General features: G+C 51.0%; 5 annotated features.

The window, feature by feature from the left end:
- Positions 476–1376: an enhancer, noted in NCBI's record as "H3K27ac-H3K4me1 hESC enhancer chr19:5526673-5527573 (GRCh37/hg19 assembly coordinates)". NCBI's record gives its function as "activates a minimal SCP1, AML or CMV promoter by ChIP-STARR-seq in naive H9 embryonic stem cells {active_cell/tissue: H9 hESC(naive)}" and the evidence as "EXISTENCE:reporter gene assay evidence [ECO:0000049][PMID:30033119]".
- Positions 9646–9815: an enhancer, noted in NCBI's record as "experimental_51725 CRE fragment used in MPRA reporter constructs". NCBI's record gives its function as "activates a minimal promoter by MPRAs in K562 erythroleukemia cells, with activity observed for both the introgressed and non-introgressed 19:5518319 variant alleles {active_cell/tissue: K562}" and the evidence as "EXISTENCE:reporter gene assay evidence [ECO:0000049][PMID:34662402]".
- Positions 14609–15108: an enhancer, noted in NCBI's record as "H3K4me1 hESC enhancer chr19:5512941-5513440 (GRCh37/hg19 assembly coordinates)". NCBI's record gives its function as "activates a minimal SCP1, AML or CMV promoter by ChIP-STARR-seq in primed H9 embryonic stem cells {active_cell/tissue: H9 hESC(primed)}" and the evidence as "EXISTENCE:reporter gene assay evidence [ECO:0000049][PMID:30033119]".
- Positions 19795–19964: an enhancer, noted in NCBI's record as "experimental_51717 CRE fragment used in MPRA reporter constructs". NCBI's record gives its function as "activates a minimal promoter by MPRAs in K562 erythroleukemia cells, with activity observed for both the introgressed and non-introgressed 19:5508170 or rs147854738 variant alleles {active_cell/tissue: K562}" and the evidence as "EXISTENCE:reporter gene assay evidence [ECO:0000049][PMID:34662402]".
- Position 19879: a transcriptional cis regulatory region, noted in NCBI's record as "Neanderthal adaptively introgressed variant 19:5508170 (GRCh37/hg19 assembly coordinates) or rs147854738 in the experimental_51717 CRE". NCBI's record gives its function as "modulates activity of the experimental_51717 enhancer by MPRAs in K562 erythroleukemia cells {active_cell/tissue: K562}" and the evidence as "EXISTENCE:reporter gene assay evidence [ECO:0000049][PMID:34662402]".

Here is a 22044-nt window from a genome sequence, read left to right as displayed (position 1 = left end):
TCTTAAGCAATTCTTAAAATGCTAAACTTGGTCCTACCTCAGACCTCTTAGCCAGACTGCCTTCCTTCCAGGGCATATGTCACCTCCTCAGAGAAGCCTTCCCTGATTACTCTATTTTTGTCCTTCTTTTCTGCTTTCCCTTGCTTTAGAATTCTTTGAGATGAGGTCTCCCTTTGTTGCCCAGGCTGGTCTCGAACTCCTGGGCTTTAAATGATCCTTTTGCCTCAGCCTCCTGAGTAGCTGGGATTACAAGGGTGTGGCGCCCTGTGCTTCGCTTCTTGCTTTAGGATTCCTCCCACTCCCTGAAATTAGATTATGCATTTGTGTGTTATTATCTGTCTCACTCTATTTATTTTTATTTTTATTTTATTTTATTTATTTTGAGACGGAGTCTCACTCTGTCGCTATTTTTATTTTTATTTTATTTATTTATTTTGAGACGGAGTCTCACCCTGTCGCCTAGGGTGTAGTACAGTGGCACAATCTTGGCTCACTGCAACCTCGGCCTCCCGGGTTCAAGCAATTCTCCTGCCTCAGCCTCCCAAGTAGCTGGGATTATAGGCGCCTGCCACAACGCCCGGCTAATTTTTTTTCTTTGTGTTTTTAGTAGAGACAGGGTTTCACCATGTTGGCCAGGCTGGTTTCAAACTCCTGACCTCAAGTGATCCACCCCCCTCAGCCTTCCAAAGTTCTGGGATTACAGATGTGAGCCACCGCACCCAGCCTCACTCTACTTTAATATCAGTGAGGACAGAGGGAGTGGGTCTGTTTTGTTCGTAGCTGTCTTCCCAACACCCAGAACGGTGCCTGGGCACTTCATCAATACGGAGTCTTGCTCTGTAGCCCAGGTTGGAGTGCAATGGCGCCATCTCGGCTCACTGCAACCTCTGCCTCCCGGATTCAACGAAGGAAGGAAGGAAGGAAGGAAGGAAGGAAGGAAGGAAGGAAGGAAGGAATGAATGAATGATGCAGGGGCCAAGAGGCCATGCTAGCATGGTGTAGAGGACTCCATAGTGTCCTACTGTGGTCATCTTGCCCTTGGTGCTTCCCCATTGCCTCATGGAGTGGGTGAACTGTTCCCATTTCACAGCCCAGAACAGGGAGGCTATTACGTCATATGTGTGGCCTGACCAGGGAGCCCCAGCCAGAGCCGACCCGGCTGGGATCAGAAGCCAGCTGTGGGCTGGGCACAGTGGCCCACGCCTGTCATCCTGGCATTTTGGGAGGCTGAGGTGGGAGGATCGCTCGAGGCCAGGAGTTTGAGACCAGCCAGGGCAACATAGGGAGACCCCATCTCTACAAAAAATACAAGAATTAGCTGGGCTTGGGTCCAGCTACTAGGGAGGTTGCAGTGAACTGCCAAAAAATAAAATAAAATAAAATAAAATAAAAAGAAACCACCTACAGAAGGGCACTCCTTCCATGGTCCTCCCAGGGAGTTTTTTTTTTTTTGAGACACGGTCTCGTTCTGTCACCCAGGCTGGAGCGCAGTGGCGTGATCTGAGCTCACTGCAGCCTCTGCCTCTCCCAGGGAGATGTTGGTCAGAATCTTGACTGGGAGACAGGTCCATGCAGATCCCTGGACGTCAAATTCTCCATCTGAGCAAGGGGAAGTGATCGTCGATCATTCCCAGCCCCTCCCCTAGGCTTTAGGACCCCACCCATCCTGGTTTCCCTCCCATCTCTCTGGCCATCCCTTCTCCTCTCCATTGCCCTCTGGCCACCCCCTGTGGCTGGCTGCTGCCTATCTTCCCCTCAGGCTTCTCACACACAGCAGCACCCAATCTGGCAGCAGCAACTTCTCCCCAAACCCACTCCTTGTCCAGGTTCCCTCCCCAGGGGCAGTTCCATCTGCCTCTCCTTTGCATATGCTGCTCCCTCTGCCTGCCACACCCTTCCCCCTCAGAGCTCTCCCATGCCCCCCAACCTACCCGAACCCCTCCCAGCATTGCCCATCTCAGAGCGGCCTGAGTGTCTCCCCAAGGAACCACCACAATTTCTACAATGAAGTTGTGTGTGCCGGGGTTTGCTTAACATTTATCTTCCCAACTAGGTGCTAATCTCCAATCGAGCAGGGGCCTCGGCTGTTTTAATTCCCGTATCTTCAGTACCCAGTGTAGATATGGGCACTCAGCAAGAGCCTAACGTTTGCTGAATAATGAATCAATGGGTGTGTGGGTGTGTGTGTATGGGTGGATGGATGGGTGGGTGGGAAATGTGGGGTGAGGGAGGGGAGGATGGATGGGCAGATGGATGAAAGGTGAGTGGAGGGATGGTTGAATAGGGGATGGGAGATGGAGGGATAGGGGATGAAAGGTGGATGGGTGGGGGATGGGAGGGTGTGTGTGTGTGTGTGTGTGTGTGTGTGTGTGTGCGTGTGTATGAATGGATAGATGGATGGGTGGATGAATGAGTGTGTGATGGATGGATGGATGGGTGGATGGGTGGATAAATGAGTAGATGGTTAGGTGGGTGGGTGGTGAATGGATGAATGGATGGGTAGGTGGGTGGATGGATGGATGGATGGATGGATGGAAGGATGGATGGATAAATGGATGGATGGGTGGATAAATGAGTAGATGGTTAGGTGGGTGGGTGGTGAATGGATGAGTGGATGGGTAGGTGGGCGGATGGATGGATGGATGGATGGAAGGATGGATGGATGGATGGATAAATGGATGGATGGATAAATGGATGGATGGATGGATGGATGGATAAATGGATGGATGGATAAATGGATGGATGGATAAATGGATGAATGGATGGATGGATAGATGGGTAGATGCATGCATGAATGGATAAATGGATGGGTAGGTGGATAGGTGAATGGGTGCATGGATGGATGGATGGATAGATGGATGGATGGATGGATGGATGGATGGATAGCTGCATGGATGGATGGGTGGGTGGTGGGTGGATGGGTGAATGGATGGATGATGGATGGATGAGTGAATGGTTGGGTGTGTTGATGGACAGGTGGATGGCTGGGTTGATGGATGGATGAGTGGATGAATGGATGGTGAGTGGATGGATGGGTGGATGGATGGATGGTTTTTGGGTAGGTGGTTGAGTGGAGGTAAGGATGGATAGGCCTGTAGGTAGATGGTGGAGGAAAGGGTAGATGAGTGAATGGGGATTGTAGGGGTGGGTATATGGGTGGGTGTGTAGGTGAGTGAAAGGGGGATGGGATATGAAGGTTGGGGGATGGAAGGCGGACGATGGGGAATGGGTGGGCGGGTATATGGGTGAGTGTATGGGGGTTTGGGAAATGGAAGGAAGGATGGATGGGTAGGTGTTGGCTGGATGGGTGAAGGATGGATCCGTGATGGAGAAGGCAGATACGTGAATGGTCGGATGATGGAGAATGGAGCCCCACTTTGATGAGCTGGGCTTGGCTGGCTGTGGATCCTGGTGAAACCCTCAACTGGGGCCTGTCAAGTGGCTCGGAGCATTAAGCAGACTCCATGTGTTGAAGTTGGGGGAGGGGGCGGATAGATGCGACTCAGGCCTCAGCCTCTCTCTGCAGGACTCAGCTTGTCTTCAGCAGGGAAGCCTGGGGAGCCAGGCCTGCCAGTGGGAGTTCACTCCCCCCTCGCCACCCTGCAAACTCATGTTCCTGCTACCAACAGCAAACTGCATCCCCCTAACGAGGGCCCCACTTTTAGCTGGGAATGTGCCCCCTTCCACCCTCACTTGATTCAGTCCTGCTGCCCGCCGATTCAATTATTCCACTGCTGGGGTGGCTGGCAATTTTCAGTTGGGGTTGAACGCTGTCTCATATCTGTATGACTTTTAACAGCATGGACACCCAGAGACAGAAACACAGAGGTGAGAGAGAAGAGGGGAGAGACAGAAGCAGACAGACACAAACCAAGGGAGAAAGAGAGGGAGAGACTGTCAGAAAGAGAGAGACAAAGACAGAGAAGGGAGGGTCTGGATTAATCAAGCTCCCGTGGCCTCAGGGGGACTTCCAACCTATGCAAAACAGCAGCCTCCCTGCTAAGATCCTGACCTCTTTTGTTTTTGAGACAGAATCTTGCTCTATTGCCCAGGCTGGAGTGCAGTGGCGTGATCTCAACTCACTGCAACCTCCGCCTCCCGGGTTCAACAATTCTCCTGCCTCAGGCTCCCAAGTAGCTGGAATTACAGGCACCCGCCACCATGCCCGGCTCATTTTTTGTATTTTTGGTAGAGACGGGGTTTCACCATGTTGGCCAGGCTGGTCTCCTGACCTCAGGTGATCCACCTGCCTCAGACTCCCAAAGTGTTGGGATTACAGGCGTGAGCCACCGTGCCAGGCCCCTGACCTCATTTTAACCCCTTCCCTCCACACATGCACTTCACACTCAGCCCAGATTTTGCAGAGGCTGACCTGGCTCATGGCCGGCACAGCTCATAGATAAAAGGACAGCTGTTGGGAGGCAGTGAGCTCCTCACTCAGGGAGGAGTCCAGGCATGGGCTATGCACTGAAAATTCCTTTCAGATCCTAGGTGTGTGCAAAGTCCCCATTTTTGTTTTCGTTTGTTTTTGTTGTTGTTTTCTTTTTTTGAGTGTCAGGGACTGGGACGGAGTGAAGAGTGGGAGAGAGGGAGGAAGGGGAGGCAGGGAGGGGACGGGGCAAATCATGCAGGCCTTTGTGGGCTGCTGGGAGGACTTGGGCTTTTACGTCCAGGGAAGTGGGAGCTATGGAGGGCTGTGGACAGAAGAGGGACAGGACCTGACTCAGGGGCTCACAGGCGCCCTCTGGCTGCCAAAGAGAGGACAGGTCGTGGGGGTGAAGATGGAAGCCTGGGAATAGGATGGAGGAAAATGCGTTGGTTTAAGTGACGGATGTGGGGGAAGAGAGTTCCAGGCAGAGGGAACAGCCTCTGCAAAGGCCCTGGGGTAGGACTGTGCCTGACACGTTGGAGGAACAGCGAGGAGACCTATGTGGCTGAAGCCACACGGACAGTGTGGAGGGAGGGATGGGGAGAGAGGGAAGAGGAGAGTGCACTGAGGCGATGAGGGGGTAGCGGGCAGGTCATGCAGGGCTTTTTTTTTTTTTTTGAGGCAGAGTCTCACTCTGTCGCTCAGGCTGGAGTGCAGTAGTGCAATCTCGGCTCACTGCAAGCTCCGCCTCCCGGGTTCATGCCATTCTTCTGCCTCAGCCTCCCGAGTAGCTAGGACTACAGGCACCCGCCACTACGCCTGGCTGTTTTTTTTGTATTTTTAGTAGAGATGGGGTTTCACCGTGTTAGCCAGGATGGACTCGATCTCCTAACCTTGTGATCCGCCCGCCTTGGCTTCCCAAAGTGCTGGGATTACAGGTGTGAGCCACCGTGCCCGGCCAAGGGCTTTGTGAGATAACTTAGGCTTTTACCCTGAGGAAGGTGGGAGCCATGGAATGTTGTGGGCAGAGGAGGGAGGGCACCTGTCTCAGGTTTAACCACAAGTGCTCTGGTGGCTGTAGGGGAGTCTCTTGTCCCTTTTTGCCGTGCGACCTTGGACAGGTTCTTCTCTTTCTCTGACTCCAGAGCCCCTCTCCCCACGTGCTGACAACTCGGGCCCCACCACCGGAGCAGCCTCTGGGATCTGTGATATCTTCAGCACCCTGCATCGGGGGTGATTATTTGTAAGCTCAAACCGTCCCCATCCCGGCAGCTTTTCAGACAGTAATGAAATCACCTAATCTTGTGATTGGAGGCTTCACGGACACGTCCTCACCAGCGAGTGCCTCTCCCCAGGGAGGAAATTCTCAGGGCTCAGGCAACAGAAAAATTGCTTCCTTGCCTTTCTCCTTCCCCCTGCCACCAGGAGCTTAAGCAAAATCGCTCACTCCCTGGAGAGGGATCCTGGGGTTGTCTTATTCGTTCAGGCCGAGTTTGACTTTGTAGATGAAGTCTAAGTTCTGGCAGTGCCTTCAACTTGCTGTGTAGTCTTGGACAATTCTCCACCCTCTCTGGGTCTCAATTTCTCAAAACCGGTCCCTGGCACTGCGTCTAGGCCTATTGTGAAGAGGTGAAGTGTGAGAAGCACAAAGTGAGGTCACCAAGTGAGGAAGGCTGAAACCTTCCTTCTGCCTCTCCCCTTTTAAAAATTGTGGCAAATGCCGGGTGCGGCGGCTCACGCCTGTAATTCCAGCACTTTGGGAGGCCGAGGCGGGTGGATCACCTGAGGTCAGGAGTTCCAGACCAGCCTGGCCAACATGGTGAAACCCCGTCTCTACCAAAACTACAAAAACTAGCCAGGCGTGGTGGCGGGCGCCTGTAATCCCAGCTACTCTGGAGGCTGAAGCAGAAGAATTGCTTGAACCCAGGAGGCAGAGGTTGCCGTGAGCCGAGATCATGCCATTACACCCCAGCCTGGGTGACAAGAGTGAAACTTTGTCTCAAAAAAAAAAAAAAATTGAGGCAAAATAGAAATAACATAAAATTTACCATTTTAACTCCCTTTTTGGTTTCTGAGACAAGTTCTTACTCTGTCGCCTGGGCTGGAGTGCAGTGGTGCGAGCACGGCTCACTGCAGTCTCAAACTCCCGGGTTCAAGTGATCCTCCTGCCTCAGCCTCCCGAGTAGCTGGGACTACAGGTGTGCACCACCGTGCCTGGCTGATTTTTGTATTTTTTGTAGAGAAAGTCTTGCTATGTTTCCCAGGGTGATCTCAAGCTCCTGGGCTCAAGTGATCCTCCCTCCTTGGCCTCTCAAAGCGTTGGGATTATAGGCGTGCATGGCCTTAACCCATTTGAAAGTATACAATTCAGTGGCATTAGGTACATTCACAATGTTGTGCAACCATTGCTACCCTTCATCTCCAGAATCTTCTCATCTTCCCAGACTCAAATTCTTCCCCATGAAACACTCACTCCCCTCCCCCTCCCCAGCCTCTGCTACCCTCCACCCATCCTACTTTCTGTCTCTATGAGCCTGTGATTCCTTTCAAAGGTAAAGACTTGGGCAGGAGAGACTCAGAAGGAATGGCTTAGCCTGGAGGGAGACAGCATACAGAATGATTAAGGGGCAGGATACAGAATGATTAAGAATTTGGGCATCTGAGATTGAATCCTGGCTTTATCACTCATTAGCTGGGAAACTTCAGGCTTCCCCTGAAGCTATTTGGGAGGCTGAGGCACGAGAATCACTTGAACCCATGAGGCAGAGGTTGAAGTGAGCAAGACTGTGCCACTGCACTTTAGCCTGGGCAACAGAATGAGACTCTGTGTTAAAAGGAACAAAAACAAAAAGCCACAACAAATTAGCCACAGATACAGCATGTGGCACTGACCAGTGAGAATGAACGTGAGCCTCCATTTCCTCATCTATAAAATGGGGTTCATGACAGTGTTATCTTTTGGAAGTGTAATGGTTAGCTACTGCTGCGTAACAAGCCAAACTAAAACTCCCTGGCTTACAGTTATGTGTTATTGCTCCTGTGTCTGGGATCTGGTTGGGGTTGGGCTGATGTAGGCTATCTTTGATTGGCGACACTCAGGGGTATGCCGCAGCTCCACCTGGCTCAGGAGCAGTCTAAGCTGTCTTTTGTTTTCAAAGATGATCCTCTTGCCTCAGCCTCCCAAGGACTTCATGCATGAATCACTATGCCTGGCTCTCTTGTTTTCCACTCAGCTTCTACCTTCCCACTATGAGAGAATTCTATTAATTTCTTGTGACTCTTCCTATAATTTCTACAAATACAGTGAAACATACATATATATTTTATTTACTTTTTTTTTTTTTTGAGACAAGGTCTTGCTCTGTCGTCCAGGCTGGAGTGCAGTAGTGTAAACATGGCTCACTGCAGCCTTGGCCTCCTGGCCTCAAGTGATTCTCTTGTCTTGGCCTCCCAAAGTACTGGGATTACAGGTGTGAGCCACTGCACCTGGCCTAGAGCTTACATTCTTTTTTTTTTTTTTTTTTGAGATGGAGTCTTGCTCTGTCACCCAGGCTGGAGTGCAGTGGCATGATCTCCGCTCACTGCAAGCTCTGCCTCCTGGGTTCACGCCATTCTCCTGCCTCAGCCTCCCGAGTAGCTGGGACTACAGGCACCCGCCACCACGCCCGGCTAATTTTTTGTATTTTAGTAGAGACGGGGTTTCACCGTATTAGCCAGGATGGTCTCGATCTCCTGACCTCATGATCCGCCCACCTCGGCCTCCCAAAGTGCTGGGATCACAGGCGTGAGCCACCGCGCCCAGCCGAGCTTACATTCTTAACTACTAAGCTATTTGGCCAAGAACTCTTGCTTTCCAGAGTGATGATAAAAAATATTTAGAAGCCTGGGCAACATAGCAAGGCCCTGTCTCTAAAAACATTTTTCTAGTTAGCTGGTTGTGGTGGTGTGCACCTGTGGTTCCAGCTACTTGGGAAACCGAGGTAAGAGGATTGCTTGAGCCTGGGAAGTCGAGGCTGCAGTGAGCTGTGATTGCACTACCGCACTCCAGCCTGGATGACAGAGTAAGACTCTCTCAGACAAAAAATTTAGAGAGTCCAGGCATGATGGTTCATGCTCGTAATCTCAGCACCTGGAAGGCTGAGGTGGGAGGATTGCTTGAGGTCAGGAGTTCGCATCCGACCTTGGCAACATAGCAAGACCCCATCTCTTAAAAGCAAATTAGCTACAGATACAACTTGTGGCATTGACCAGTGAGAATGAGTGTTCTGAAGCAGGTCCCAGCAGCCCTGTTAGTGCCCGGACCTTGGGGAGGTCCAGGGCTTATAGGGAAGGTCCTGGCAGGTGCAAGTTGGTGCCTGTAGCCAGAGCTGCTTATCAAGAATTCCTGGACATGGCTGAGTGTGGTGGCTCATGCCTGTCATTCCAGCACTTTGGGAGGTCGAGGTGGGTGGATCACCTGAGGTCAGGACCCAGCCTGGCCAATATGGTGAAACGCTGTCTCTACTGAAAAAAAAGCAAAAACAAACAAACAAACAACATAACAAACAAACAAAAATACCACACAAATATTAGCTGGGCGTGGTGGTGCATGTCTGTAATCCCAGCTACTTGGGAGGCTGAGGCAGGAGAATCACTTGAATCTGGGAGGTGGAGGTTGCATTGAGCTGAGATTGTGCCACTGCACTTCAGCCTGAGTGACAGAGTGAGATTCCATCTTAAAAAAAAAAAAAAAAAAAAAGAATTCTGGACATTGCCAAGCACTAGGCCATGGTCAAGGCAAAACACAAGCCATCTTGTTCCTGATCGACTGACACTGAGAGTGTGAGCCTTTCTGAAGCCAGTCCTGCCATTTTCTACTAAAATTTACTGCCCGTCTTGAGAACCTTTCCTTCCTTCCTTCCTTTCTTCCTTCCTCCTTTCTTTCTTTCTCTCTCTCTCTTTCTTTCTTTTCTTCTCTCTTTCTTTTTCTTCCTTTTTTTTTTTTTTTTTGAGACAGAGTCTTGCTCTGTCACCCAGGCTGGAATGCAGTGGAGCAATCTCGCTGCAAGCTCCGCCTTCCGGGTTCACGCCATTCTCCTGCCTCAGCCTCCCAAGTAGTTGGGACTACAGGTGCCCGCCAGCACACCTGGCTAATTTTTTGTATTTTTAGTAGAGATGGGGTTTCACCGTGTTAGCCAGGATGGTCTCGATCTCCTGACCTTGTGATCCGCCTGCCTTGGCCTCCCAGAGTGCTGGGATTACAGGCGTGAGCCACCACACCTGGCTCGCTCTCTCTCTCTTTCTTTCTTTCTTTCTTTTTCGAGACAGGGTCTCACTGTCACCCACGCTGGAATGCAGTATTGCAATCATAGCTCACTGCAGCCTCGACCTTCTGAGCACAGACAATCCTCATGCCTCAGCCTCCTGAGTACCTGGGACTACGGGCATGCACCACTGTGCCCAGGGCATTTTTTATTTTTAAATTTTGTATAGAGATGGGGTCTTGCTATATTGCCCAGGCTGTTCTTGAATTCCTGGGCTCAAGTATTCCTCCCACCTTGGTCTCCCAAAGTGCTGGGATTAGAGGCCTGAGCCACCATGCCTGACCATAAGAAGGTCTCGAGTTCGTTGGATAGAAGAGCTAGGGAGCCTCCGTAGCTGCAAGCAGCTGGGACTTGGATGGCAGGGAGGGGTCCTGTTCATGGCAGCCAAAGGGTCCTGAATGCCCCTGGCCAATCTGTGACCCGGTCTGCAAGCCTGGAAGAGCACTCCCTGGCTTCTCAACCTTCCAGGGAGGGTGGATGGAAAATGAGGGTATTGGGATGCCTGGTGAAGTGGAACTTAACATTTTTTAATCAGCAGACGCTGCCGGCCACCTTTCCTTTGTACAGTGGAGACAGCTAAGCTCCTTGAAGCAGAACTTCTTTATTTAGAGAGAATCAGTTGAATGATTCCTCTTAGTTTTATTCATATTGAAGGCAAGTGGGTGCCCATTGTGGGGGATGGTGATGATGACGCTATTGCTGGTTGGATCAGTCAGCTACTGCTGCGTACGTAACAAGTAGCCCTGCAGCCAATGACTTCAAGCACTAAGCGTTTTTATTTTATCTTATTTGTGTGTGTGTGTGTGTGTGTGTGTGTGTGTGTGTGTGTGTGAGAGAGAGTGTGGAGTTGGGGTCTCACTTTGTCGCCCAGGCTGGAGTGCAGTGGTGCAATCATGGCTCACTTCAGCCTCAACCTCTGAGGTTCAAGTAATCCTCCTACCTCTGCTTCCAAGTAGCTGGGACTACAGGTGCGCCACCACACCCAGGTAATTTTTTCCTAATTTTTTTTTTTTTTTTTTGTAGAGCTGGCACCTCACTATGTTGGCCAGGCTGGTCCTGAACTCCTGGCCTCAAGTGATCCTCTTGCTGCAGCCTCCCAAAGTGCTGGGATTCCAGGTGTAAGCCACAGCTCCTGGCCTAAGCATTTATTTGTGTTCGTAAGTCTACAGATAAAACCATCTGACTCTTCCAGTCTCAAGTGGGCTCATTCCTGTCTCTGCAGTGAATTTGCAGTGAACTTGGGGTTGGATAGGCAGCTCTGCTGATCTTGGTTGGGCTTCCTTTCTTGTTAGGGGGTTGGCTGGGATAACTGGGCTCTCTTCCATGGGCCCTCTGATTTCTGAAAGACCAGCCTGAGGTTATTCCCATAGAAGTGGGACTGCAAGAGAGTGAGAAGAAGCAACCATCAGGCTGGACACAGAGGTTCACACCTGTAACCCCAGCACTGTGGGAGGCTGAGGTGGGAGCACTGCTCGAGCCCAGGAACTCAAGAGCAGCCTGGGCAACATAGCAAGACCCTGTCCCTAAAAATATGTATATAGAAAAAATTAGCTGGGTATGGTGGTGTGCGCCTCCAGTCCCCATCTACTTGGGAGGCTGAGGCAGGAGGATTGCTTGAGCTGGAGAGGTTGAGGCTGCAGTGAGCTGAGATCATGCTGCTGTACTCCAGCCTGGGTAACAAACTAAGAGGCTGTCGAAGAAGAAGGAGAAGAAGAAGAAGAAGGAGAAGAAGAGAAGAGGAAGAGGAAGAAGAAGAGAGAAGAGGAAGAAGAACAAAGAGCAGCCGCGAGCAAGGCCACTTGAACTTGGAAGCAGATCTTTCTCTGGTGACCTTGAGATGTCGGTGGCCCCAGGTAACATCTTGATTGTAGCTGTTTGGGAAAACCCTGGAACAGAGGACCAGCTAAGTTGTTTCTGGATGCGTGACTTCCAGAAACTGTGAGATAATAAATGAGTTATTTCAAGCTGCTATGTTTGTGATAATCTGTTGCACAGTAATAGGTAATGAATACCAGTACTTGGACAAAGGCTGCCGTTCCTCAAACTCCTTCGTGTGCAGAGCTGACTAGTGGTGTTGAAGTGGGATTCACCGGAGCAAAGGAATTGCAATCCAGTTTCTTTTGCTTCTGAGGTTCTCTCTGATGGGCAGGAGTGGCCCCGAGGGACACCTGAAGGCAGAAAAGGAAGCCTAGTGCTGTCACGTGGGAACTTAGTCTCAAGGGGGACAGAGGAGGAGAACGGAGGAAAACCTGGTTTTGAACGCAACATGTGTCTGGAAGTTCTACCTCCTTCACTTTCCCTGTTATTGTGTCTAGCTTGGTGATTGGGGCCTGAAGTCATTCAAGAATGTAAATCAAAGGACTCTAACCTTGCGGACCTCAGTTGGGGTTCCACTGGGGCCAGTGCAAAGGGAAAAGGAGGCAACAGACTGTGCAAGACTATTGTTCAACAGCAACACCTTGTGGCAGCCACAGAAATAACAGCAGCCTTGGTGTCATCCATCGTACCATCTGGTCCTCTCTCTGTGTGATGTTGGAAAGGGTGATCGGCCCTATAGACTGAGAAGGTGCTCAGGGTCATGGACAACTTGAGGGCAATGTCAAGAGGCACCCAGTGGGCACATATGGTATCCATGGGAATAATTAAGGAGAAGTGACTCTAGTAAGACCATTGCACCCTTCCTTTTTCAGGAACAGCACCTTAGATTTTTCTGGGAGGAACTTCCCTGTCTTGCTTTTGGTTCCTGAAGTCCAGGCAGGGTCAGCTTCAACCTGGGAACCAGGGAGGGAGGCTGTGACCCAGTGCAACCCTACCCCTATGATCGTGAGGTCACTTTTTTTTTTTTTTTTTTTTTTTAAGGCTGAGTCCTGCTCTGTCACCCAGGCTGGAATGCAGTGGCATGATCTCAGCTCACTGCAACCTCTGCCTCCTGGGTTCAAGTGATTCTCCTGGCAAGTAGCTGGATTACAGTGCCCACCACCACACCAAGCTAATTTTTTTGTATTTTTAGTAGAGATGGGGTTTTGCCATGTTGGCCAGGCTGATCTTGAACTCCTGACCTCAGGTGATTAGCCCACCTTGGCCTCCCAAAGTGCTGGGATTACAAGCGTGAGCCACCACACCTGGCCTTGAGGTCACCTTTGCATGCGAAGGCTGTATACTGCTAACACCTGTGACATCTCCTGTCTGATGGTGTCCTGCTGGCTGTTGGAGGCCATTTGGTCCTGTGCAAGCCAGGCCAGAGGGCAGGAGAGCTAATGCAGCTTTCCACCTTTACAGATGGGGAGTGGGTGGATCAATACTTCAGCTCCCTGACCCATCTGTTGGGATAACTCCAAGCAGGTTCTGTACCTCCCAGAGGTTCCCAGTGGGACCGAGCCCCAGTTTCCCGCACATTCACCTGCTCATTAACACCCCTTGTGTTGGCTCTTTCCCTCCCTTGTCTCACTTTCCTCTCCCCTCCCAGTGATTCCTGGAATGCTTTTTTTTTTTTTTTTTTTTTTTTTTTTGAGATGGAGTTTTGCTGGAGTGCAATGGCATGATCTCGGCTCACCACAACTTCTGCCTCCCAGGTTCAAGTGATTCTCCTGCCTCAGCCTCCCAAGTAGCTGGGATTACAGGCACGCACCACCACATCCGGCTAATTTTTGTATTTTTAGTAAAGACAGGGTTTCTCCATGTTCGTCAGGCTGGTCTCAAACTCCCGACCTCAGATGATCCACCCGCCTCGGCCTCCCAAAGTGCTGGGATTACAGGTGTGAGCCACTGCACCTGGCCCGGAATGCTTTCTTCTAGATAAACTCCTTGCCCCACAAATCCTTGCCTTAAAGTCTCTTTCTAGGGAGGTCCAATCAAAGATACCCAGGGCTGGCCAATCAGAGGATGCTACACCTCTGGCCTCAGTGATTATCTCAGGGCCATGACCCATGTTGTCCCAATCAGAGAGAACTCCTAAATATTTGGTGGACTTGTGGGTGAAGTCCTGCTGTGGGGTAAGAAGACACATTTTCCTCAGGGGTTGCTGAGCTGATAAATGCCTTGTCCTCCTAGGACCCATCTGATCACCACGTGGAAAAGCCTCCTGTGAATGAAGTTAATTCAGAAGAAAGCAGATGGTCTTGACATGGCTTCAGCACCTGGATCAAACCGTGCCTGAAGGCATACTATTATTTACAATAGCTCCCTTTTTGCTGAAGTCAATTGAAATCAAGTGTTTCTGTTTGTTCTTTGTTTTTGTGACTTTTAGAGTCCTGGCTATTGAAGAGCTGGTAAAGGTGGTCTCGTGGGCACTATATGAGTTTGTTAGGGCTGCCAAAAAGAAGTACAAAGGCTGGTTGGCTTAAACAATAGAAATGTGTTGTCTCACAACTCTGGAGGCTGGAAGACACCTGAGACAAGGTGTTGACAGGGCTGATCTCTTCTGAGGTCTCTCTTCTTGGCTTTTCAATGGCCACATTTTTCCTGTGTCCTCACATTGTCTTCCCTCTGTGTGTGTCTGTGTCCTCATCTGCTCTCTCTCTATTTTTTTTTTTTTTTTTTTGAGACAGAGTTTCACTCTTGTTGCCCAGGCTGGAGTGCAATGCCGCAATCTCGGCTCACTACAACCTCTACCTCCCACATTCAAGCCATTCTCCTCCCTCAGCCTCCCGAGTAGCTGGGATTACAGGCATGTGCCACCATACCCCGCTAATTTTGTATTTTCTTTCTTTTTTTTTTTTTTTTTTTTGAGACGGAGTCTCACTCTGTCGCCCAGGCTGGAGTGCAGTGGCCCAATCTCGACTCACTGCAAGCTCCACCTCCCAGGTTCACGCCATTCTCCTGCCTCAGCCTCCCTAGTAGCTGGAACTACAGGCATGCACCACCACGCCCAGCTAATTTTTGGATTTTAGTAGATACGGGGTTTCACCATGTTGGCCAGGCTGGTCTTGAACTCCTGACCTCAGGCAATCCACCTGCCTTGGCATCCCAAACCTTCCTTCTTTTCTTGAGACAGGGTCTCGCTCTGTTGCCTAGGCTGGAGTGCAGTAGGACGATCACAGCTCATTGCAGCCTTAGCCTCCCAAGCTCAAGCAATTCTCCTGCCTCAGCCTCCCAAGTAGCTGGGACTACAGGTGCAGGCCACCGTGCCCTGCTAGTTTTTTTGTAGGAACATGGGTCTGGCTATGCTGCCCGGGCTGGCCTCGAACTCCTGAGCTCAAGCAATCCTCCCACTTCGGCCTCTCAAAGTGCTGGGATTTCAGGCGTGAGCCACGGCACCCGGCCTTGCGTGTCTCCATGGTGGCCTGGGCTGCCCTTCCTCACCTCGGCAGTCCTTAAACGATTTCTGCACCATCATTTTCAGGACGCTCTGCAGTGTCGCTCAGTCTTTTTGCACCAGGAAGCTGGAGAGCGACCCGGAGTGGGAGGGATAAAGGACGCCGAGGCGGAGGTGAGAGGATGGCAGAGCGACGGATGGGGCGACATTGATCATCTGCACAGCCCTGGGCCTCTGTGGCCACGTGGCTGGTGGCTTTTGCAGAGACACTTCGCATTGCAGACTCAGCACTTGGCTCATCTTCCCGGACCGCCACCAGCCTCTGCCGAAAAGAAAAAAAAAGCGTGCTGAGCCCCTGAAACCGCCAAATAACCCGAGCAGGGTCTCGATGAGTGGCCTCTGTAGATCATCCGCAAAGCCCTGGTTTCTTCCCAGAGGCAGGGAAGGCAGTGGACGGCAGCCAGGGGAACTTGGGTTCAAATTCTAGCTCTGCCGCCCACTGGGTGACCTTGGACACGCCCTTCAACCTCTCTGAGCTCTCTCCTTTGTAAAATGCTTTTCCAGAGGAGTCAGCTAGGGCGTGAATTCTGGAGACTGATCAACAAATAGGTGCTCAGTGAAGGATAGTAGCCATACAACCATAATAGTAATTATACAAATCACAAGTAGTTACAAATACAAAAATACAAATACAAATACAAAAAAAAGATCCACGGGCTTTGCGATCACATGTGCATACATTTAAATTCCAACTTCGGAATTTATGGAGCAAGAGGGATCATTGGCAAGTTGTTCAGTCACTGAGTCTCAATGTTTTGATCAGTGCATTAGGTACAGTGGTATTTTCTTCCCTGGTGGAGCCTGTGAGGAGGAGCTGGGGAGGCAAAGAGGGTCAAGTGTATGACTCCACGCTCAGGGTGTAATCAATGCCCAATGCATGAAAGTGCATAATCTCAGCACTTTGGGAGGCCAAGTTGGGAGGATCGCTTGAGCTCAGGAGTTCAAGACCAGCCTGGGCAACATGGTGAAACCCTGTCTACAAAAAATACAAAAAAACCGGGCCAGGCGCAGTGGCTCATGCCTGTAGTTCCGGTTACTCAGGAGGGTGAGGCAGGAGAATGGCATGAACCCGGGAGGCGGAGCTTGCAGTGAGCCGACATCGCACCACTGCACTCCAGCCTGGGCGACAGAGTGAGACTCTGTCTCAAAAACAAAAAACAAAAAACAAAAAAACAGAAAAAACAAAAAACAAAAACAAAAAACCTAATTAGTGGCCGGGCGCGGTGGCTCACACCTATAATCCCAGCACTTTGGGAGGCCAAGGCGGGTGGATCACTTGAGGTCAGGAGTTCAAGACCAGCCTGGCCAACATGGTGAAACCCTGTCTCTACTAAAAATGCAAAAATTGGCCAGGCATGGTAACACACGCCTGTAATCGCGGCTACTTGGGAGGCTGAGACAGGATAATCGCTTGAACCCGGGAGGTGGAGGCGGCAGTGAGCCAAGATCGCACCACTACACTCCAGCCTGGGCCACAGAACAAGCTGTAGGACGTGGTGCTGTCTGCCTGGTGGTTCAAGTCAGCTGTTGTAGTTGGCAGAATAATGATCCCCCAAAGATGTCCACATCCTAATCTTAGACCCCATGAATGTGATTCAATGGCAAAGGAGAATTAGGGTTGCAGGTGGAATGAAGGTTGCCAGGCAGCTAGTGATGAGAGAGAAAGATATTATTCTGGAGTACCTGGTGGGCCCAAATCATCGCAAGGGTCTTTTAAAGTGGAAGACAGAGGCAGAAGAGAGAGAATCAGATAGCAACACAGGAAGGACCAGGCCTGGCCGGGCGCGGTAGCTCACGCCTGTAATCCCAGCATTTTGGGAGGCCGAGGCGGGAGGATCACTTGAGGTCAGGAGTTCAAGGCCAGCCTGGCCAACATGGTGAAACCCCATCTCTACTAAAAATACAAAAATTAGCCAGGTGTGGTGACGGGCGCCTGTAATCTCAGCTACTCGGGAGGCTGAGGCAGGAGAATCACTTGAACCCGGGAGGCAGAGGTTGCAGTTAGCAGAGATGGCGCCACTGCACTCCAGCCTGGGCTCCACCTCCACCTCTCAGGTTCAAGAGATTCTCCTGCTTCAGCCTCCTGAATAGCTGGGATTACAGACATGTACCACCACGTCCGGCTAATTTTTTGCATTTTTAGTAGAGACGGGGTTTCACCATGTTAGTCGGGCTGGTCTCAAACTCCTGACTTCAAATGATCCACCCACCTCGGCCGGATCCCAATCTCAAAGTGTCGGGATTACAGGCATGAGCCACCGCGCCCGGCCTGCAGGCTCCTCTTTAGCTGTCTTCCTGCCTTACAGGGTGAGACTCTGTCTCAAACAAACAAACAAACAAAAAAACCAAAGAAGGACTAGACCAGCCACTGCTGGCTGTGAAGGTGGAGGAGGGGGCCCTGAGCCAAGGGATGCGGATGTCTCTAGACGCTGGGAAAGGTGGGAATTGGATTCTCCCCTGGAGAGTAAGATCTAGTGGGATCAGGAAGAGGCACAAAGAGACAGTTCCAACCTCCACAACTTTGCATTTGTGATGCCATGTCCTTCCAATCCCAGCTGCAGCTACGCCTCCTCCAGGAAGCCTCCCTGGGTCCCACCGTCCTTGTGGCCCTGTCGTGTCCTGCAACGGAGAGCTCAGAGGGTCTGGGGACTGTCGCAGGTCCCTCCCCCTTTTCCAGGTGCACTGCTATCATGATTATACGTCACTCTAGAAAAAACTGATTACATTGCAACCTGACCTTCTCCCTGTCTGCGGGGCCCATTACCACGTCAATCAGATGGCTCAGAGAAGGAAAAATTATTTTATCTTTAACAATACTTAAAACTGCTCAGCAGGGCCATCTTGGGGACTGGGCGTTGGCAGCTGTGGGTAGGTGCTCTGGGTCTCTGCATCCTACAGGCTCCCCTTTATTTATTTATTTATTTATTTATTTATTTATTTATTTTTGAGACGGAGTCTCGCTCTGTCGCCCAGGCTGGAGTGCAGTGGCATGATGTCAGCTCACTGCAACCTCCACCTCCCAGGCTCAAGAGATTCTCCTGCTTCAGCCTCCTGAATAGCTGGGATTACAGGCATGCACCACCACGCCTGGCTAATTTTTTGCATTTTTAGTAGAGATGGGTTTTCACCATGTTGGTCGGGTTAGTCTCAAACTCCTGACTTCAAATGATCCACCCACCTTGGTCAGATCCCAATCTCAATGTGTCGGGATTACAGGCATGAGCCACCGCGCCCGGCCTGCAGGCTCCTCTTTAGCTGTCTCCCTGCCTTACAGAAAAGTCTGGAACCTTCTGATTTGCAAACTGAATTCCCACCCTCCTGGGCCACCCCATCCGCAAAGGGGGCTCGCCCTTCCGGAACCAGCCCAGATCCCTCTCTCTTGTCTCTCTCTTTGTCTCTCTGTCTTTGCCTCTGTCTCTCTCTTTGTTGGCACTGGGGAGACCCAAGAATCGAGTGCTCATGGGCTGGTGGGTATCCACAAATCATTTCCTCAGCCTGAGCACCGCGTGATGGAGGGGCCACCATCACACCCATTGTGCAGTGTGGAGACCGAGGTCCAGAGACACAAAGCCCTGTTTCTGTTTCTTTTTTTTTTTCTTTTTCCTTTTTTTTTTTTTTTTGAGATGGAGTCTCGCTCTGTTGCCCAGGCTGGAGTGCAGTGGCGCAACCTTGGCTCACTGCAAGTTCTACCTCCCAGGTTCACGCCATTTTCCTGCCTCAGCCTCCCGAGTAGCTGGGACTACAGGTGCCCGCCACCAAGCCTGGCTAATTTTTTTTTTTTTTTGTATTTTTAGTAAAGACGTGTTTTCACTGTGTTAGCCAGGATGGTCTTGATCTCCTGACCTTGTGATCCACCTGCCTCAGCCTCCCTAAGAGCTGGGATTACAGGCGTGAGCCACCGTGCCCGACCCCTCTTGCCTCAATTTTCCCATCAGGTGAATGGGAGTCAGTCTCGTCCCTTACGGGCTGTTGGGAGCTGGAGTCCTGCCCGTCACAGAAGGATTGTGAGGTAAGATACAGGACACCCAGTTCAACTTGAATTTCAAATAAACAGAAAATACTTTTTTAAGAAAAAAAAAAAAAAAGTCTGAGTATACCCCAAATATTGCATGGGCTATACTTATACTAAAAACTCACTTGTTGTTTGGCTGAAACTCAGATTGAACCCGGCATTCTGTATTTTTTTTTTTTTCTTTCAGACGGAGTCTCACTCTGTCGCCCAGGCTGGTGTGCAATGGTGCGATCTTGGCTCAATGCAACCTCCACCTCCTGGGTTTAAGCAATTCTCCTGCCTCAGCCTCCTGAGCAGCTGGGATTACAAGCACACACCACCATGCCCGGCTAATTTTTGTATTTTTAGTAAAGGCAGGGTTTCACCATGTTGGCCCGGCTGGTCTTGAACTCCTGACCTCTGACCTCAAGTGATCCACCTGCCTCAGCCTCCCAAAGTGCTGGGATTACAGGCATGAGCCACCGTGCCTGGCTGGCAACCTGTATTTTTATTGGCCACATCTGGCAACCGGAGCATGAGGCTCTGGAGAGATAGAAGGTTCTGGACATTGTGGGGCAGACTCATTTGTATCAACAGTATCAGGTTGTCCTGGCTGCTATGAGGACAATGTTGAGATTTCCCAACAGAGTGCTGGAAGATTTGTTTTTTTTTTTTTAAATTATTACTTGGCCGGGCACGGTGGCTCACGCCTGTAATCCCAGCACCTTGGGAGGCTGAGGCGGGTGGATCACAAGGTCAGGAGATTGGGACCATCCTGGCTAACACGGTGGAACCCCGTCTCTACTAAAAATACAAAAAAATTAGCCAGGCTTGGTGGCAGGCCCCTGTAGTCCCAGCTACTCGGGAGGCTGAGGTGGGGGAATGGCGTGAACCTGGGAGGCGGAGGTTGCAGTGAGCCGAGATGGCGCCACTGCACTTCAGCCTGGGCGACAGAGCGACACTCCATCTCAAAAAAAAAAATTATTACTTTATTTATTTTAATAGAGACCGGAGTCTTGCTGTGTTGCCCAGGCTGGTCTCGAACCCTGGCCTCAAGCAATCCTCCTGCCTTGGCCTTCCAAAGTGCTGGGATTCCAGGCATGAGCCACTGGGCCCAGCCTGATTTGTCTGCAATGTGGCACAGTTGCCTCTGCTGGAGCCAGGGACCGCCTCTGTCACTGGGAAATGGTGGCAACCATTACGGCTTGACCCTCTCCAGCAACGCTGGGCAGAAAGCCCATCTCATGAAGCAACAAAGAACCCAACTAGATTCAGGCCGCTGTCTCCCTGTCCCGTCCTCCCCCCTCCACCCCAGCCACCCATCACAGTCCATCCCCAAGGCCGGTGGCTCGCCCTGTCCTCAAGGTGTCAATACCTCCCCTTCTAAATTTCACCCTGGAAATCAATTAGGGTCCGGGCGAGTTGATTATAAATCAGCTATTTTCATAATTGTTATGTCTTTAATAAATCAGAACTGTGCACGTTGCATGCAGGCAAAATGGAGCTGTTCTCCTGAGGTCATCAATTACCCGGAGGGGAAGACAGGGCCGTGTCCGCATTCCCTCGTCCTCCACCCGATCCGGAGACGCTGCCGGCCGGGCCAGGGAGTTCCTGGACCCGGGCCGGGCCGTTCCATTAGGGAATTGCTTAAGCAGCGTTTTAAATAACAAAAAGGGATATCATTTAATTTTTTCGCAACGTGGAAATCAATACGCTGTCCTTCAGGCGGCCTGACGGATCGTCTTGGCGAGCTTCTCCGAGTTAATCTAATTTTTCTGGGTCTGGCTGGGACCAGCCGTCTTGCGCGAGGCCTCCTGCGTGCCGGCATCAGCCCAGCCTGGAATCCATGGTCTCAGACGGATCTTCCCACAAGTGCTGTGGATGTATTTGGCAGGCGGGGAGGCAGAAAGGTGGGCAACAAGCCATTTCTTTTATTTATTTATTTTTTTGAGATGGAGTCTTGCTCTGTCACCTAGGCTGGAGTACAGTGGCGTGATCTCGACTCGCTCACTGCAATCTCTGCTTCCCAGGTTCAAGCAATTCTCGTGCCTCAGCCTCCTGAGCAGCTGGGATTACAGGCGCCCGCCACCACGCCTGGCTAATTTTTGTGTTTTTAGTAGAGATGGGGTTTCACCATATTGGCCAGGCTGGTCTCGAACTCCTGACCTCAGGTGATCCACTTGCCTCGGCCTCCCAAAGTGCTGGGATTACAGGCATGAGCCACCATGCCTGGCCCGAGCCATTTCTTTCTTTCTTTCTTTTATAGAGATGGCTTCTTGCTATGTTGCCATATAGAGTTGGAGGCCAGGGTGGTCTCCAACTCCTAACCTCAAGTGATCCTCCTACGTCAGCCTCCCAAAGTGCTGGTATTACAAGTGTGAGCCACTGTGTCCAGCCAAGAAGTCATTTCTTTAGGGCAGTGGCCTTGACCAGGGATGATTTTGCATGCTCTGGGGGCATCTGGCAATGTCTGCGGACATTTTTGGTTGTCATGACTTGGGGGGTGCTCCTGGCATGGAGTGGGTGAAGGCCAGGGGTGCTGCTCAGCACCCTGCAGTGCCCAGGATGGTCGCAGCCCAGAGAATGATTCAGCCTCAAATGCCCACAGTGGCAAAGATAGGAAACTCTGCCTTAGGGCAATTCATGAAAGGCAGTTTGGAGAACCCTGATCTCTTCCCCCATCTTCGCTTCTGAACCCTGTGTCCTGTTTATTCCAAAGTCCAGGGGGACAAGGCCCTCTGTGACAGTGCAGAGACTCTGGTGCGAGTCCTGGGCCTATTCATCCAGTAGATATTGAGCACTTACTGTATATCAAGCACCATTCTAGGTATTGGGGATCCAGCCACCAATAAGATGGACAAAACACCTGCCCTCATGTGGTTTAACTTCTAGTCAAGGTAGAGAGTTGAGCAGGTAGGTAAACCAAAGGTGGATTCAGAAGTCAGTGAAGGAGGCCGGGTGCAGTGGCTCACACCTGTAATCCCAGCACTTTGGGAGGCCGAGGTGGGTGGATCACTTGAGGTCAGGAGTTTGAGACCAGCGTGGCCAACATGGTGAAACCCCGTCT

This window comes from Homo sapiens, chromosome 19, assembly GCF_000001405.40.
Source record: "Homo sapiens chromosome 19, GRCh38.p14 Primary Assembly".
NCBI lineage: Eukaryota > Metazoa > Chordata > Mammalia > Primates > Hominidae > Homo > Homo sapiens.
The sequence above is the reverse complement of the archived record's forward strand: the minus strand, read 5'-3'. Positions and strand labels throughout refer to the sequence as shown.